Source organism: Homo sapiens, chromosome 10, assembly GCF_000001405.40.
Source record: "Homo sapiens chromosome 10, GRCh38.p14 Primary Assembly".
NCBI lineage: Eukaryota > Metazoa > Chordata > Mammalia > Primates > Hominidae > Homo > Homo sapiens.
Window position 1 is genome coordinate 132,965,508 of NC_000010.11, and position 17,572 is coordinate 132,983,079.

At 54.0% G+C, this 17,572-nt stretch overlaps 2 long non-coding RNA genes across 2 annotated transcripts, besides 3 other annotated features; one reads left to right on the forward strand and one right to left on the reverse strand.

The window, feature by feature from the left end:
- The first annotated feature begins 26 nt into the window (after nucleotides 1–26).
- Nucleotides 27–10,990, forward strand: LINC01168 (long intergenic non-protein coding RNA 1168). The gene is made up of 3 exons (NR_046231.1): nucleotides 27–400; nucleotides 5,592–9,348; nucleotides 9,725–10,990. It is a non-coding gene; the product is annotated as a long intergenic non-protein coding RNA 1168 (long non-coding RNA).
- Nucleotides 4,959–13,738, reverse strand: LOC124902527 (uncharacterized). Its single transcript, XR_007062349.1, has 2 exons — nucleotides 13,328–13,738; nucleotides 4,959–13,004 (listed from the first exon to the last, which is right to left on the reverse strand). It is a non-coding gene; the product is annotated as an uncharacterized LOC124902527 (long non-coding RNA).
- Nucleotides 5,628–6,349: an enhancer, noted in NCBI's record as "H3K27ac-H3K4me1 hESC enhancer chr10:134784639-134785360 (GRCh37/hg19 assembly coordinates)". NCBI's record gives its function as "activates a minimal SCP1, AML or CMV promoter by ChIP-STARR-seq in primed H9 embryonic stem cells {active_cell/tissue: H9 hESC(primed)}" and the evidence as "EXISTENCE:reporter gene assay evidence [ECO:0000049][PMID:30033119]".
- Nucleotides 9,455–10,281: an enhancer, noted in NCBI's record as "H3K4me1 hESC enhancer chr10:134788466-134789292 (GRCh37/hg19 assembly coordinates)". NCBI's record gives its function as "activates a minimal SCP1, AML or CMV promoter by ChIP-STARR-seq in naive H9 embryonic stem cells {active_cell/tissue: H9 hESC(naive)}" and the evidence as "EXISTENCE:reporter gene assay evidence [ECO:0000049][PMID:30033119]".
- Nucleotides 12,182–13,087: an enhancer, noted in NCBI's record as "H3K4me1 hESC enhancer chr10:134791193-134792098 (GRCh37/hg19 assembly coordinates)". NCBI's record gives its function as "activates a minimal SCP1, AML or CMV promoter by ChIP-STARR-seq in primed H9 embryonic stem cells {active_cell/tissue: H9 hESC(primed)}" and the evidence as "EXISTENCE:reporter gene assay evidence [ECO:0000049][PMID:30033119]".
- Nucleotides 13,739–17,572: the final 3,834 nt, after the last annotated feature.

The window sequence follows — 17,572 nt, forward strand, 5'->3', positions numbered from 1 at the left end:
CTCCTCACTGGCGTTACCTTCCTGCCATTCCCACTTCTCCTCACGGCGTTACCTTCCTGCCGTTCCCACTTCTCCTCAATGGTGTTTCCTTCCCGCCTTTCCCACTTCTCACCAGCGTTACCTTCCCGCCATTCCTACTTCTCCTCAACGACGTTACCTTCCCTCTGTTCCCACTTCTCACTGGCGTTACCTTCATGCTGTTCCTACTTCTCCTCATGCCATTACCTTCCTGCCATTCCCACTTCTCCTCACGCATTACCTTCCTGCTGTTCCCAATTCTCTCTGGCGTTACCTTCCTGCTGTTCTGCCGTTCACGCGTGTTTATATGTGTTTGCATGTGTTTACATGTGTTTGCATGTGCCTGTGTCTGCATATGCGCATTTCCCTGAATCGACGGAGGGTGAGTTGAGAGTTGAAGAAATTATGCCATTTTACTGCTAAATACCTCAGCGTGTACTTCCTGACAAAGACACTTCTTTTCATTACCACAGTATAGCTGTCAAAATCAGGAAAGTTCACACCAATGAAATATCTAATCCAGAGTCCATACTCAGATTTCATCAATTGTGCCTAAACATCCCTTTAGCTTTTTCCCACTACATCCTGGATCTAATCCAGGACCGCGGGCCTATGACCTTTTCAAAGTCCTAATTTCCATCCTTCTTCAACAGTTCTTGTAGCCTTTCTTTGTATTTCTTGACCTTGACATTTTTGTGAGTGTTTGTCAGCGACTTTGCAGAGTGCCCCTCAGTCTGGGTTGACGTTCGGATTTTCCATTTTATTCTAAGGTGGTTTTGGTAAATTGTATTATTCAAGGACTTTCCCCCATTTCATTGTAATTGCCAAATGTATTGGCATAAACTGGTTTATCATGTTCCCTGATTTCCCTTTTAGTGACTGTAGAATCTCTATATTTCCTCTTTCATTTCTGATATTGGCAATTTAGGCTTTTCCCTCTTTATTTTTCTTTTATCTTGGTTGATCTGTTTTGTGTTTTTGTTTGTTTAAGACAGGATCTCACTCTGTCTCCTGGGCTGCAGTGCAGTGGTGCAATCATAGCTCACTGCAGCCTCAAACTCCTGGGCTCAAGTGATCCTCCTGCCTCAGTCTCCTGAATAGCTGGGACTACAGGCATGCAACACCACACCTGGCTACTTAAAGAAAATATTTTTTGGAGAGATGGGGTCTTGCTGTGTTGCCCAAGCTGGTCTTGAACTCCTGGCCTCAAGCAATCCTCCTGCCTTGGCCTCTGAAAGTGCTGGGATTACAAGTGTGAGCTTCGGTGCCAGGCCTCCTGATCAGTCTTATGGGGTCTGGCTCTGTCACCCAGGCTGGAGTACAATGGTGCAATCTCAGCTCACTGCAACCTCTGCCTCCCGGGTTCAAGCCATTCTCCTGCCTCAGCCTCCCGAGTAGCTGGAACTACAGGCATGCACCACCACACTCAGCTAGTTTTTTTATTATTATTATTTTTAGTAGAGACGGGGTTTCACCATGTTAGCCAGGATGGTCTCAATCTCCTGACCTCATAATCCGCCCCCCTTGGCCTCCCAAAGTGCTGGGATTACAGGCGTGAGCCACCATGCCCGGCCCTGATCGGTCTTATGATCAGTCTTATAAGTGAAATGGGAAAGGTTCCCTTGTTCCCCTTGCAGGGTGTGCGATGGGGGTGTGGCTTGCTTCTTCAGTGCCCCGATGCTCAAACTAGCCAGGGGAGCATACAGACGAGCAGGCTGGGGGGCTCTGACCCCATGGCAGTGTCTAGGGGTGAATGTTTCCAGCTCCTGACGCTGCAGTGGACATGTGCTACCATATGTTCTTACTTTGCCATCTATAGGTGGCTTATGTTCACCAGCTCAATTAGACCTTGTTGCAAGGACAGAGGGCATTCCGTATCCAGGATTCTTGCCTTGGTGCACCGGAAGAATCGAATCAAACCTGGGCTTGGAGAATGACTGCAATGTTTTATTGCGTGGAGGTAGCTCCGGGGAAGTCAGAGGGGGATGGAGTGGGAAGGTTTTCCTCTGGAGTCAGGCCACTTGGCAGCCTGGTCTCTCCAACTGCCCTGGCCAAACTCCACGTCGTTCTGCCGATCGGTCGGTGTCCTTCTGGCGTGCTGGTGACTGTCGGAGCGTTGCTCACCACGTCCAGCTGCCCGTGTGTTCCTCCACTGATGTGCTCCTCTTGATGTCCACCTGCCTGTGTGCCTGCCTGCTAGAGTCTCAGGGTTTTTATAGGCACAGGATGTGACAGGGGTGTGACAGGCCAGGGGAGGTCTTGGGAAATGCAACATTTAGGCAGGAAATTCCTGTCCTCACCTAGGTCCGTGGGGGTGGAGCCCTAGCCAGGGACCACACCCTCCTGTACCCAGCACTTCCCTTCCCCCTTCCCTATCATTTAAAGGGACCACACCCTTCCCCTCCCAGCACTTCCGTATCATAAGGATATACCAAGATTTTATTAATCTTTTTAAAGAACCGAATCCTGGATTTGCCAATTTGAACTTTTTTCTGTTTTCTATTTTGTTGACTTCTATTCTTATTTTTATTATTTTCTTAATTATATTTATTTTTGTTTAAATTTACTTACAGTTTTCCAGCTCTGGCTGTGACAATGTGGATTACTGGTGCCATTGTTAATTTTAGGTCCATTTGACTGGGCTAAGGGATGCCCAAGTAGCTGGTAAAAGATTGTTTCTGGGTGTGTTTCTGGAAGAGATCAGTGTTTGAATCCATAGACCGAGTCAAGAGGGTCTGCCCTCCCCAGTGTGGGCATCATGCAATCTGCCAAGGACCTGCATAGAACACAGACATGGAGGACAGGAAAACTCTCTCTGCTGGAGGTGGAACATCTCTCTTCTCCTGCCTTCAAACACTGGCCTCGGTGATTCTTGGGCCTTCAAACTTGAACTGAATTACACCGTGACCAGCTCTCCCTGTTCTCCAGCCTGCAGATGGCAGACCATGGGACTTCTCTGCCTTAATAATTATGTGTGCCAATTCCTATAATAGATTTTCTCTCTCTCCATCAATAATCAATCATGTATCCATCCATCCATCCATCCTTCCCTGTCTCTCTATCTTTCTATCTATCATCTATCTATGTTATGTTTATCTAGAGAACCCTGACTAATAAAATTGGTTTTGAATTTCATTCTTTAAAGCAGTTAAATTAAAATGAAACAGAAAAGACATTTCTCGTATCTTCACTATCAATTTGAAATTTTTTTTAATCTTTCTGTTTTGACCCAGTTTATTCAGAAGCATTTTTCTTAATTGCCATGTATCTGGCAGGGCAGGAGACTTTCCTGGATATCTTACTGGCATTGATTTTTAATTTAATTCCACAGTGATCAGAGAACACACCATACAACTTCAATGTTTTGAAATTTATTGACACTTGATTTTGGCTCAACATATCAACTATTTTGGCAAGTTTTCAATGTGTACATGGAAAGAACGTGTATTCTGCAGTTATTAGGCGATGTGTTCTGTGAATGCCATTAGGTCAATGTGGATTATAGTGTTACTTAGATCTGTGTCCTTACTGCTTGTTTTGTCTACTTGTTTTATCCATTAGTAAGGGAAGAGTGTGAAAATATCCAACTAGGTTTGTGAATTTGTATATTTCTCATTTTAATACTGTCAGTTTTTGCTTTATGTATTTTGAAGTGCTCTCATTAGGTGCATACACCTTTATGATTCTTATGTCTTACTAATACATTGACCCTCTATCTCTGGTAATACTCTTTGTCTTAAATCCGTTTTGTCTGATGTTAATATACTTACTCTGGGTTTTTAATGTTTTTGTTGACACTTTAATCTTTTCTCATCCTTTTGCTTTCTCACTATGTCACTTTGCATTCAAAATATGTCTCTCCTATAAATAGCATATAGCTGGGTTTTGCTTTTTTATTTTTAAAACTTCAGTCCGATAACCTCTCCCTTTTAATTGGAGGAATTAGTTCATTTATACTTAATGTAATTATTGATAAGATTGACTCTATGTCTATCATTCTGTTATTTGCTTCCCTTTGCATCCCTTCTATTTTTTATTCTCTGTTCCTTCCTTCCTGTCTTTTAAAGAGTTAATTAAATATATTTAATCTTCCTAGTGCTTTTTCACCTCTGCTTCTTTGCACAAGTATTTTAATGTGTGCTCTTAGTATTAGAATATACATGCTTAACTTTCCACAGTCTACTTAGAGTTAATATTGAGCCACTTCTCAAATGTGAGGACCTTACAACAGGGCAGCTCCATTTCCCACCCTGTCCTTTGTGCCATTGCTTCATATATTTTAAATCTACTTACATCACAAACTTCAAAATCTGTTATAATTTTTATTTGAAATAGTCATATGTCTTTTAAAGAATCAAGAGACTAAAAATACAATATTTTATATTTGCTTATGTACTTGCTGTGTCTGGTGTGCTTCATGTCGGGTTTGAAAATCCAGTTTCCATCTGGTGTCAGTTCCCTTCAGCCTAAAAACTTCCTTTACCGTATCTTAGAGCAAAAGTCTGCTGGTTACAAATTCTTTAAATTTTTACTTATCAGAAAATATTTCTATTTTGCCTTTATTTTTTAAAAGGCTGTATTTGCTGGATGTAGAATTTGGGGTTGAAGGGTCTTTCCTTCATCACCTTGAGGACATTGCTCTCTCTCCCGAGGGGAAGAAGTTGGCTGTCATTCGTGTCATTGCTCTCCTTGGTGTGATTTGTCATTTCACCCTGGCTGCTCTAAAGATTTTTCTCTTTGTTTTTGGTTTTTAGGAGTCTGGTGATGATGTGCAGTTATCATGTGTAGTGTTTATTCTGCTTTGGATTTGCTGGGCTTCTTTAATATATAAATATATGTTTTCATAAAACTTAGGGCCGTTATTTCTTTAAAAATGTTTCCACCTCATTGTCTTTCTTCTCTACTTCTGGGACTCCAAATACACGTGTGTTAGACACTTATATTGTTAAACTCCATTTATTTTTTAAAATCGTTTTTTCTCTCTGTTCTTCAAATTGAATAATTTCTATTGGTCGGGTTTGGAGTTGCTGATACATCACTGGGGGTCCCAGGTGTGCAGGGGCAAGGGCTGAGCTGGAGTTGGGGCTCCAGTCAGGATGATGACTAAACCTCATTCCAGATGGGTTCACTCATGGGAGCCGGCGGGACCCCTTTCAGCTCCCATTTGCAGTCAGGGCTCTTTGCTGCAGAAGCACCTGGGTGTCATCCATGCCAGTCGTCCTGGGACGAAGTGAGCGGTGGCCACTGTGCCATGAGTGGTGCACCCTGCTGCCTGGGGTGGGCACGACGCCCACCGCTCGGCCCCCACTGGGCCTCAGCCCCCAAGGCACCCACGCTCCTCTGTGAGGGTCACCCAGCCTGCATGGCATCGTTAGGCTGCCCCAGGAAGGGGCAGGGTGCCCTCAGAGCTGGGACCCCTGGAGTGGCCAGCAGCAGCACTGGGGGACTGACCAGGGCGGGTCGGTGCTCATGGCAACCACTAGTACCCGATGGCTCCCTCCATGCTCAGGAGGAGGGAGGAGCTCTGCCCGGCTGAGAACAGCCTGACTCTGTTGCACATACCACAATTCCAGGGTCAGGACGCCTCCTCCCCACTAGCTGTGCTGACCTGGGAGCAGCAGGTTCGGCCCTCACCCCAGGTAGGACGTGCCCCCTCCTTGATATGCCCACTTCAGCGAATCACGTGTGGCCTGAGGGCTCTGCTCAAGGGCCCTAGCCAGGAAACAGCCTGCTGGGAGGCCAACCAGGTGCCCCCACACCTGTGGTGGACATTGACTCCCTCCAGGCGGTGGCTGAGGGCAGCCCCAGCCAAGTCTGTGCCAGCCGAGGCTGCTGGGGACCCTTCCTCTCCCCCTTCCCTGTTCTGTTCTTCCTTCCCACCCTTCCTCCTCCCTCCCTCCTTTTCTTTTTTTGGGTTTCACCTTAGACTAAGTAAACACACTGGCCTGAATTATGTAAGCCCCTCTTGCAGCCTGGGCAGATACATTTAAAAATAAAACTTGTCAGGTGTTGTTACCTTCCAGCCTCCTCAAAGCTGAGCTCTCCAATCTCAGGACTATTTACAGCCACACCAGCAGCAGTGCTGACTCGGCACCACAGGCGCGGCCTCTTGTGGGGAAGGAGCAGGGACCCTCCACCGTGCTTGGTTTCTTTCCCCACCTTCCTCTCGGTGGGGCTGGGAGTGGGGTGATTTGGAAACACTCAGAGGGTTTAGACATGAATGAGTCTGGTCGAATTCCCCACTCTGGACAGCGAGTCCAGGCACTGCCTGGCGGTCTGGTCGGGGTTCCTGGGGGGAGGTTCAGAGCAGGGTATGGCAGGAGCAAGACCCGGGTGTCTTGTGTCCCCGAAAGGAGCAAGAGGAGGCAGCAGGAAACCCGGACGGCGCTGAGCGGAGGCCTGGGCGCACGTCCTGGAGGAAGAGGCATCGTTACCAGGAGTGCCCGAGGCACAGTGCACAGATGGGCTGGTACAGGGTCCTGGGAGCACTGCGGGACCGGGCAGGGCTCTGCTGAGCCTCAGGAGAGGGAGGGCGCTGGTTCCCGCATCCTGTCCCCCTCCCCTGGTGATCTGCCAAGGGGAGCAGCCCAGGGAGGGGGAGCTGGGAGTCAGGGAGCGCTGTCCTTCATGAGTACAAATCCAAATCCCAGGCCGGCTCCCCAGGAGCATAGGCTGCAAGGACAGGGCACCAGCTGTTTATTTGGGTCAGGACTCAGGGGAGGGGGAAGATCACCCCAGGAGCAGAGCTGTCCACCCACTTGGTCCCTGGATCCCCCAGGTCCTGGAGGGCCTGACCTCAAGGAACTGACTCTGCCTGGGCTGGTAGGGCTCTGACCCCTGGCTTCCGTGCGGCCAGAGACCGCCAAACACGAGTGAGGGGCAGTTTAATTGTCTGCTGTGGTCTTAAAAACCAGGAGGCCCAGAGTCGCAGCAATCGGCCGTGCTTCTTTAGAGGCCCCTCCCTCCGCCTCCCACAGGGCAGCCACTCCAGCACCCCTTTCAGGTTCTTCCCCAGCCCAGGCCCTGCTCCCTGGCCCTCCCTCTTGCTACTGGTTCCCGACACTCACGTTCCTCCCACGGGACCACGACTGAGACAGCACACGAGGGCCCACTGTGAGTATCTGGGGCCCGTTTTATGCACAAAGAGCCCGGCACTCGCCATCAGATCCATCTCCTACCTGCTCTAAGCCACACTGCCCTCCTGCCAGGCTGGTAGGGTCTCTGGGGCTGGGCTGGGTAGACGGGGCTGCGCAGCTGGAGACGTGCCCACCTCCCTGCCTGTGACCCCATCCAGGTGCCCTGACTCAGGCACTGGCGACCAGTCCTGAGGTTGCTCAGCACAGCCCCTCCCTCACCGCTGCCCCCAAGCCATCGCTTGCCAGAGGCTGGCTTGCTGTCTTCACGGCTCTGGGAAGTCACTTCGGAGAAACTGACCTCTGAGTGGGAAAGTGACTCACTCGCCGAGGTTCAGGACGGACTCGGCGGCAAGGGCGTCTTGGAGGGAGGTCTCGAGTGCCAGGGTTCTCCTCTCATCTCCTCCCATCCAGCACCGTGTACTGAAGTTGCCTGCCTCTTTCCTCATGTCAGGGACAGCCCCGTCCCCCAGCACACAAGGATGACAGTATGTCCTGGTAGCCAGCGAGGCCCAGATCCCACACCTGGCCACACGCACCAGCGTGGCCTCCAGGAGAGGGTGTGAGGTCTCCTCCGGCTGTCCACGGTGGGCCCAGACATAGGATCTTCCCCTGTGGGGAGGACGGGGGGCAGCCCACCCTGGGAAGAGGGGTGAGCCACCCACAGAGAATGAGGCTAGGCCCACTTGGGCCTGAGGGCATGGCCTGCACCCAGCTGGGCAGGCTGGGCAGGGGCAGACTGGATGGGAATGGGAGCTGAGGCTGCCCTGGAGGGGTTGGAGCTGTGCCCACTGGGGATGGATGGACACCCCTGGATGACGGACACCCCTGGATGACGGACACCCCTGGTCAGCCAGTGGCCCAGCTCATGCCCCTGTCCGGAGGCCCAGCCCAGCCCAGCACACACAAAGCCAGGCGTCAGGGCTCAGGCACAGAGCACGGCCATGGCCAGATGTACCCGGGCCCCTCTGGGGAGTGTGCAGGGGCCGCCCGGGGTGGGCTCTGGGTGCCGGGTCCTGCCTCGGTGCTGAGGACATCAGCCCAGGTCCCCACTGCCCTTGACCCAGGGGGCTGACACCCCCCAGTGCAGAAAGAATGGCCCAAGGGGGTTGGCGGGGGTGCTCCATGGAGAAGGGGCTATCTGAGCCCCTCAGGCACCCTCTGCCAGCCATGCCTGCCCTGAGCGGCTGCCCTGCAGCACCTGGACTGTCCCTTTGGGACGGGCCTCGGTCCCTCTCCCCAGGGGATTTGCTGTACAGCCCCACAGGGACGCCCAAGGGATCACTATCTTTGTGGCTGGAGGAAGAAGACACGTGTGGCAGTGGCCATGTGGTCTTGTTGGGAGTGGCCACCTGCCCTCCTGGGGTCTCCAGGCCAGAGGCCAGGCCACAGGCCAACCAAGGACAGCCTGGCCATCCGGCCCTAGCCGGGCTGGACCTCCTGTGTGGATTCTGAAATCCACCGGCTTCCCAGGGTTGTCAACCCCTGGGCTCTCGCTCCTGTGGGGATGGGTATTTCCCTCTCTGGCGAGACATTTCCAAATTCAGAGGCTGTGGTTTGATGGCTGGGGTCCTGTGGTGCCGGGCTGTGCCTTCCAGAGGCGCCAGCTTCAGGCTGTGACTGGTGACGAGAATCTAGGTCAACCCACGCCGCTCACAGCCTCCTTCCAGCGTGTCATTGTCCCAGCCTCGTCCACACACAGCTCCCCCAAAACCCTGCAGCGTCATTTCTGTTCTGACTCCAGGTGGGCTCTGCCGCTGCCTGTGAGATGAGGCCAGATCCTCGCCGCCCGCACCTGCCTCTCCCCAACTCGCCCTGCGCGGGACAGGTGGACGCCGCCCACACCTACCTCTCCCCCACTCACCCTGCCCGGGAGAGGTGGACGCTGTCTGCACCTGCCTCTCCCCAACGCGCCCTGCCCGGGAGAGGTGGATGCCGCCCGCACCTGCCTCTCCCCCACTCTCCCTGCCTGGGAGAGATGGACGCCGCCTGTGCCTGCCTCTCCCCGACTTGCCCTGCCCAGGAGAGGTGGATACCAAGCATGTTCTTGGCAACTTGCTGCCCACACACGGTGCGGTCCAGGCTGCAGCGTCACAGCCCTGGAGCCTGCTGGGAGTGCACAGCCCAATAGCCACCCCAGCCCCTCTTCGAGGGCAGATTCCCATCAGCCTGAGCTGCCTGCAGGATGAGTACAGGGGTGAGCGTGAGACCATGTTTCTAGCCAGTGGGATGGGACCGGTGGTCCACCAGCAGCCTTGGGAAAAGGCTCCCTTCATAGGGACAGCAGGAAGGGATGGTCCTACAGCGTCAGGCCCACACCAGACACCAGAGCTGCCCTGAAGGAAAGGTGCTGTGGGGAACGGGCTGAGGGCCAGACAGCGCCAGGCCACCGATGGGCAGATGAGGACTGGCTCCTCCCACCAAAGCAGGCAGGTTAGGGCTCAGCTGCTCCCGGCTGAACCACCCAGTCTCAACATCAGTAATGCCCAGCACCTCCTGCTGGGTCTTCAGGGTTGGTCTCAGGGTTCATTCCAGAGCTGAAAATCAACAAATCAACACGTGTTGTTCCTCAGGTCCCTCCGCAGGGCAGAGCCAGGAGCTGTGGAAATGCTCTTTGCAGAGGCCCCACCTAGATGCCCCACGGGGGTGTCCCCTGGCTGAGTCCACAGGGAGGGTTGAGGCTGCCTCGGCCATGTCTGCGGCGCACGTCCCCGGTGCACATCCCCGGCGCAGGCTGTGTCTCCTCGCAGCCCCAACTGACTTCCTTTCCTTCCTGTGGTCTGCACTTCCACCATCCTTACCCCCTCCTTATCCTCAGAGACACCTCCTGACACCCTCCTCCATGCTCTGCCCTGGTTGGGATGCCTCTTGGGCTGTTCCGGGCCCCAGGCTAGAGCCACTGCCTCTGTTTCTCTGGGTGAGTCCTTGCCCTGCTGCAGGAAACCTCCGCGTGCTGTCTAAGAAGTCGTGCAAACTGGCCAGGCCTGGAAGGGCTGAGGCATCCTTTCTCCCTGATGGATGGTTTGCGTGAGTATAAAATTCAAGGCTGGAAGCCAGATTCCTGTGGAATTTGGAAGGCCCGGCTCCATTGTCTTCCGGCTCCAGCGTTGTTGAGGCGAAGTCTGACGTCCATGCAGACTCTGATTCCCGTGTGGGGACAGCCCTGGGGTCCTGCCGTCCTGGGACATCGCTCCGGCACCCCTACGCTGCTTCTTGAAACGTTTCTGTCGACTTCCCACCTCCCGGGAATTTGTTGAATCTTTTTTCTGTGAATGCCAGTTCTGTCTTCCTCACGGCTGGTTAATTCCCTTCTGCTCCTTAACTGTCATCGCATGGGGTTAATGAGAGGAGGAGAGAAAACGTCTGTGGTTTCGTTTTCCTTCCTGGATTTCGACAATGTGGATGCGTCCTTGGGGGAAAGGTGGGCTCGGGATCCAGGCATAGACCGTGCGGGGGCCTCTCCAGGAGCCAGTGTGGGGGAGTCCAGCGCAGCAGGGCCAGGGCCAGGTGGGGCAGAGTGAAGACACCAGGGCACCGCGGGGCCAGTGAGTTTGTTGCCTCAGCTGAGACAAAGTCTCAGCAAATCATCAGTGTTCCTCTTCTGTGAGGTCTTTCCACGCACCAGGCCAGGGTGTCATCACCAGACCCCTCCGGTGCTGAAGGATCTCCCCGGAAAATAGATATTAATTGCTTTTCAATCAATGTATTCCATGTGTATCAATATATTCCACATGTATCAATATATTCCACGTGTATCAATATATTCCACGTGTATCAATATATTCCACGTGTATCAATGCATTCCACGTGTATCAATGCATTCCACGTGTATCAATGCATTCCACGTGTATCAATATATTCCACGTGTATCAATATATTCCACGTGTATCAATGCATTCCATGTGTATCAATGCATTCCATGTATATCAATATATTCCATGTGCATTAGCTTTCTGTGGCTGCTATAACAAATCAGCATAAACTTATGGCTGAAACAACAGTCACTGTCACTGTTTAGTCCTGGAGGCCAGATGCCTGACATGGGACTTGGTGCTGTGAGCCCTTCCTTCTGGGGGCTCCAGGGGAGAATCTGGGCCCCTTCAGCTCCTAGAGGCCACCCAAGTCCCTTGTCTCACAGACCCAGTCCACCTTTCAAGCCAGTATCTTCAAACTTCTTCAGCACCTTCAAGCCTCTCCCTGACTCTGATCCCTCACCTCCCCTCTCACTGGGATGGACCCTCATGATTACTCTGGGCCTGCCCGGATGGCCAGGGATGACCTCCCCGTCTCAGGCCAGTGGGTGGGTAACCCTCACTCCCCCTGCAGTCTTGGGGATGACCTCCCCGTCTCAGGCCAGCAGGTGGGTAACCCTCACTGCCCCTGAAGTCTTGGGGATGACCTCGCGTCCCAGGCAGTCTTGGCTCCCTTTGCCACATAACCTGATGCATACCCAGGTTCCCAGGATTAGTAGGTGGGCACCTTGGGGGCTGTTCTCTCCGAGGCCACACAGTAACGGCAGAGAGACCAGGCAGATACCCTCTTACCCTGGTGGTCGGAGGCGCGGTCATCAGCCAGGGATGGGTTGGCCTCGTGCGCGTGCCCTGCGCGGTGCTGAGATCAGCCCAGCACGATGTCTAGCATGTTCTGCCCGAAACACACGCCTCAGAAGAAAGCGCCAGGCAAACTGAAGGACGCGAAGCCGTGGGCCGGCCTGCCGAGATCCTGAAACGCAGGCAGAGCCGAGACGCTCTTCAGAGCACGGGTGTGTGGCGGCCGAACACAGCACCTGACCCTGGGCTTAGTCTTGGACTTCTGGAAGAAACCGCGGAACTGGTGCAATCGGAGTGGAGCCCATGGGGTAGGTGTTGCCATTGAGCCAACGCTGGTTTCCTGCTGTGAGTGATTTTGCTGCAGTTTTGTGTGCAGCGTCTTTTTCTCAGGAAATACTCACTGAAGTATTTAGCAGTAACAGGCATCTGTTGTGCTTGCAAGGAAGTTTCAGGTGGATCAGAAAGGTTAGCAGTGAAGGAATCTAGGTGAAGGGATGAGGGAGCTCGCTCTGCTATTTCTGCAACTTTTGTTAACTCAGCAAAAGAGTTAAAAGACGAGTGCATGTTAGGATGAGGGGCCGGGGAAAATGCCCCCGCGGGTAAACAGCCCCGTCAGGGCAGGGGCTCTGTGAGTTCATTCGCTTGTTCACTAGAACATTCCTTGGCTGAAGTATTTACTGACGCTAACATCACAACAAAGACAAGACAAGAGGATGCCACATACATCCTGATGGAGGCGCCTCCGACCAAAAGCAAAGAACCCGGATGTGCCCCAGCCTCGTTCCAACTAGCAGTTCCCACAGAGACGCGGGGCACGGAGACGTCCCACAGAGATGCGGGGCACGGAGACGTCCCACAGAGACGCGGGACACGGAGACGTCCCCCAGAGACGCGGGGCACGGAGATGTCCCCACAGAGACGCGGGGCACGGAGACGTCCCACAGAGACGCAGAGCACCCAGGGCAGCTACAGGATGTCCTCAGGCTGCACGCTGGCCTCCATGGCACAGATGGCCCAACAACTTTGATCAATTGCAAGGAAAAGCAGAAACGGAGCGGGCAGGATATCAAAAGAGGCATCAAAGACACATGCACTCTGTGGGATATTTTGACCCTGAGTCGAACAAATGAACCCCAGGTAGCAAAGGTAAACAACAATAAAATCAGACGTATGGGGCAGTTATCAATATGGATCCTTGCAGGACATCGGATGATATGGAGGGTGCACTGTTACTCACCTTAGGTGTGAGGATGGTACCATGGTTATATATCTGAAAAGTGTCCACATCCTTTGGAGAAACATCCTGAAATATTTACAGATGAAATGATATCATGTCTGGGATTTGTTTTAAAATAATCCAATTTACTGTTACTGTCTTAGTTTGCTTTCTGTTGTTAAAACAGAATACCACCTATGGGTCATTTATAAAGAAATGAGCTTATTTCTCACAGCTCTGGAGGCTTGGAAGGCCGAGAGCGTGGTGTCTACATCTGGGAGGGTGGCCCCGCCATGTAGACGGAAGGTGGGAGTGAGCAGAGGCACCAGGGCTGGACTCACTTCATGACCACTCATTCCAGCAATAACACCGATCCACTTGTAAGGGCGCCACCCTCACGACCCAGTTACCTCTTTTTAGGCCCTCTCTCCCAACACTGTTGCATTTGGGATTAAGTTTCCGACACCTGAACTTTTCGAGGGACACACTCAGATCATAGCAAGGATGAAAAGCCAGATGGGCCTGGCTGAGGAGCTGGAAGCCACTGATGCTTGGTGAGCTCTGCAGCCACTCTACTGTGCACGTGTGGAACTCTCCAAAAAACACATGAGCAAGAACTTAGAGGAATACTTCTGGAGTGTGGTTGGATGTGAGGGTCCTTAATCCACGCTGATTAAGATGCTGATGTCTTAGTCAGCGCTGAGTGGAGACGCTGGTGCTTGCAGAGGTGGTTGGAGCCCAGATGTACTAAGAAAGAAGAGGGGCCTCAGCGTCCTCACCTGCAAGCTGGGAATAACTACCCAGCCCTTCAGGGCCGTGTGAGGAGCTGCCGGAGCAGCAGGTGACAGCTGCCTCACTGTGAGTTTTCCTGGCAGCTCTCAGCCTGGGTACCAGGAAGGCACAGGTGTGCTGGAGGCTTCCTCACCTGCAGTCCTGCTCCAACACTGTCCATGATGCTCCCACCAATAAGAAAGTTTTCTCTAGGATCCCAGGAAAGCTGTTTTCTTTTTTGTTGTTGTGTTTGCCAGGGCTGATTTTCAACTCCCTTTATTAATGTCTTTTTTCTTATTAATTTAGATTCTGCAGGTCAGTAGCAACACCATTTGATGTTTTGACATTTAATCAAAACTGGCAGGTTTTCTCCGGCGTCAAATGCATGGGGTCTTGTCAGAGAGCATGTTCGTGGGTTCATGATGAATTGCCCTCGTGACGGAGGGTCGCCCTGCGTGAACACTGGTTTCATAAGCTCTAAGGACTGTACCGGTCAAGACTGATGCACCCTCAGGGCTGGGATCCTGTGCTGGGCCCATGGTGAGTTCCATGAAGGGTTAATCTTTTCCAGTGCCCACAGGTGCTTTTCAGCCCAGCCCTGTCCTCTTGCGAATTCACCTCGTTGAGGTAACCTGAAGACCTGTGTGTCCTGGACTCAGCTCTCCTGTGGACACAGGTGTCTTCACGGCATCTCTCACCCAATTTTGTGCCTGGACGTCCTGCCACTGACCATCACCACAGGGAGCACAAAGAGAAGGTGGAGGTTCTCCAGCCTCTCCGGCCTCCTGGTCTCCTGGGCAGCAGGTGCAGGAACAGATACGCTGGCCTGGGGGAGAGCATGAGTGTGGAAAGGAGAGCCTGCAGCTCTTAACAGCAGCGTGGGCTCCAGAGGGCAGTTACTGGTCAGCTCTCAAGATGCTTTGACCATAAACGGAATTGCCTGGCAGTTGGGTTTAACTGCTCCGTCTTTGTGCAGCTTTTCCTACACACTTGAGAGGTTATAAGAGACACTTCACGCCAATTTATTGGATTTCAGCTTGCAGCCAACCCCAGCCAGTGACACTGTTTTTCTATTAAGGACCTGTGGGAACGAAGTCAACACTAAATAAACGCAGCCAACAGGAGTATGTCACGAAAGGAAATTCCAGAGTTCTGTCTCTAATGAGGAGGAGCAAGTACCTGGCGAGTGCCTGGTGAGAGCCCGGTGAGTGCCCGGTGAGTGCCTGGTGAGTGCCCGCAAGTGCCCAGCGAGTGCCCGGCGAATGCCCAGTGAGTGCCCAGCGAGTGCCCGGTGAATGCCCAGCGAGTGCCCAGTGAGTGCCCGGTGAATGCCCAGTGAGTGCCCAGAGAGTGCCCAGCGAGTGCCCGGTGAATGCCCAGCGAGTGCCCGGTGAGTGCCCGCAAGTGCCCAACGAGTGCCTGGTGAATGCCCAGCGAGTGCCCAGCGAGTGCCCGGCGAATGCCCAGTGAGTGCCCAGTGAGTGCCCAGCAAGTGCCCGGCGAATGCCCAGCGAGTGCCCAGCGAGTGCCCGGTGAATGCCCAGCGAGTGCCCAGCGAGTGCCCGGTGAGTGCCTGCAAGTGCCCAGCGAGTGCCTGGTGAATGCCCAGTGAGTGCCCAGCGAGTGCCCGGTGAATGCCCAGCGAGTGCCCAGCGAGTGCCCGGTGAGTGCCCAGCGAATGGAGGCTCCTCGGGTAACACGCGTGGACCCAGGCACAATACAAAGTCAACCGCCCGGGGCTCTAGAGCAGGAGAAACAGGCAGTTTCTGGAGGGAGAGTCAGAGCTAGAAGCAGCACCCGGCCCAGGCGAGGCTTCTGTGTGTGGCTTTGCCAGGAGGGCAGCACTGCCTGGGGTTAGTAAGACGCTGGCACAAAGTCACCACCTCTGGGTATGGAGAACACAGGTGAAGATACCTGGGACAGCCAGGGCTGCCAGTGTGTGAGTGTGTGAGGATCTGGGAAAGGAGGAAGCAGAGAAGTGGGAGAGCATGTTCTGTCCGCAACCCTTGCTCCAGTTTCCGGCTGACCCTGGAGCCATGCCAGTCTAGGCAGACGGACAGTTCTGAACAGAAACCGAGCTGCTGCCCACCAAGCTGCTGCTGCCAGCCCCTGTGGGAAACGCATCAGAGCCCAGAGGAGGGGCTCAGGGGTGCTCAGGGGGTGAAGGGGGCCGCTGTGGGCTGCCTGAGAAAAGCGACCACATCTGGGGCTGTGCCCCCGCCCGACAAGCCCAGTGGGAGCTTCTCAGAAACAAGGTGGGAAGCCTGCGCAATCCTCTCCACCGCGCTCGGGGCAGCGGGGACCAGGGCTTCCCCAGGCTGGGGCATGGCAAGGCGGGCAGTCGGGCAGCAGGACGCCCATGCCCTGCCCACCTGTCCCCACCTGTGGGAGCTGCTGGCCCTCCCCACCCAAGGCTGCCCTCCTACCAGCAGCACAAGAGGTTTGGACCAACGCGTGTGCGCTACTTTCTAGAGCAAAATTTCTTTGAACTGAGATTTTAGAACCGAGGTGGAACATGGGAGAGGCCCTGGTGGAAGCAGGAAATACACGATTTGCTTTTCACAACTACGCGTTAATGAATAGGGCAGCCCACCTCCTGGTTTGCCCCGGAATGCCCAGTTTCAGGCCTGAAAGTCCCACGGAGCATCTCCCATCCTCACCCTCGGCCTGGAGGACAGAGGCGCGTCTGGCTGGTGGCAGCCGTCAGGGCTTTGTCAAAGCGGCGCTCAGATGGAGACAACGTCTCGTCAGGTGCCACGATGGGTCTGTGTTGTGCGAGCATGTTGCTTTAGGCTGCCTTAGGCCGCCCACCTGATTCTGTCATTCTGTTTCGGAACGGCCCTCTAGACGAGCTGCAGCTTCGAGGGTGGCTTTCGCACTCTGCTGTCAGTGGCTGAACGGCTTCATTGTGAAATGCTGAAGTGATTTGTATAAATCATGACCATGGATTAATGAGGTTCATTCCTCCCAAACCTTCAAGAAATTGTTACTGTTCCTGATGTATTTGATGGCAATTGGCTCCTGGAGAAGGGAGGGAGAGGCGGGTGTCTCTACCCCGTTTGCTATATTTTGTGGGGATTGTGGGGGGCCTGGCTGGCACCATAGGGGGCTGGGTGCCCTGGGCTGTGAACTCCTGATGACAGGAGGCGCCTCCCTCCTCACCAGGCCTGGAATGAAACCCACGTGGGCAGTCCCACGAGCAACACGCCAGCGCCCCAAGGCTGGCCACGGGCAGGACGCAGAGACAGACGCGTCATTAGAGCATGGGCGCGGCGTGTCCGTGGCACGTGAGGCCCCGGGCCCTGCCTTTGCTTTCGGTCTCTGTGCACGCTGCCTCCTGACCTGATGGTCCAGTTGCCTGCGGAAGTAGGTCTGTGCACAGTGGACCTTTTAAAAGAGACACGAAACCTGGGAGGGCCTGGCCTTCCCTCTGTGCGCTGCTGCTGTTTGTCTTTTTCCTCAGCTTCCCGTTGTTCGATGGAGTGGACTCCAGGCAGCTGTCCTGTGAGCTCGACACAGCCAGGCTGGAGTTGGCAGAGGTGCAGATAGGGCGGTGATGCTGAGAGCCACGATGTCGTCATTGAAATGAAGTCAGGTGGACCCTCTGGACCCTCTGAGTTTCCAGCCTAGGAGCAGTGGCGTGTTCTAAGGACGGGCTTCCCCTCCTCCCACCCTCCAGCTCCCAGCGCCGCCTGTAACCCTCCTCCCACCCTCCAGCTCCCAGCGCCGCCTGTAACCCTCCTCCCACCATCCAGCTCCCAGCGCCGCCTGTAACCCTCCTCCCACCGTCCGGCTCCCAGCGCCGCCTGTAACCCTCCTCCCACCGTCCGGCTCCCAGCGCCGCCTGTAACCCTCCTCCCACCGTCCGGCTCCCAGCGCCGCCT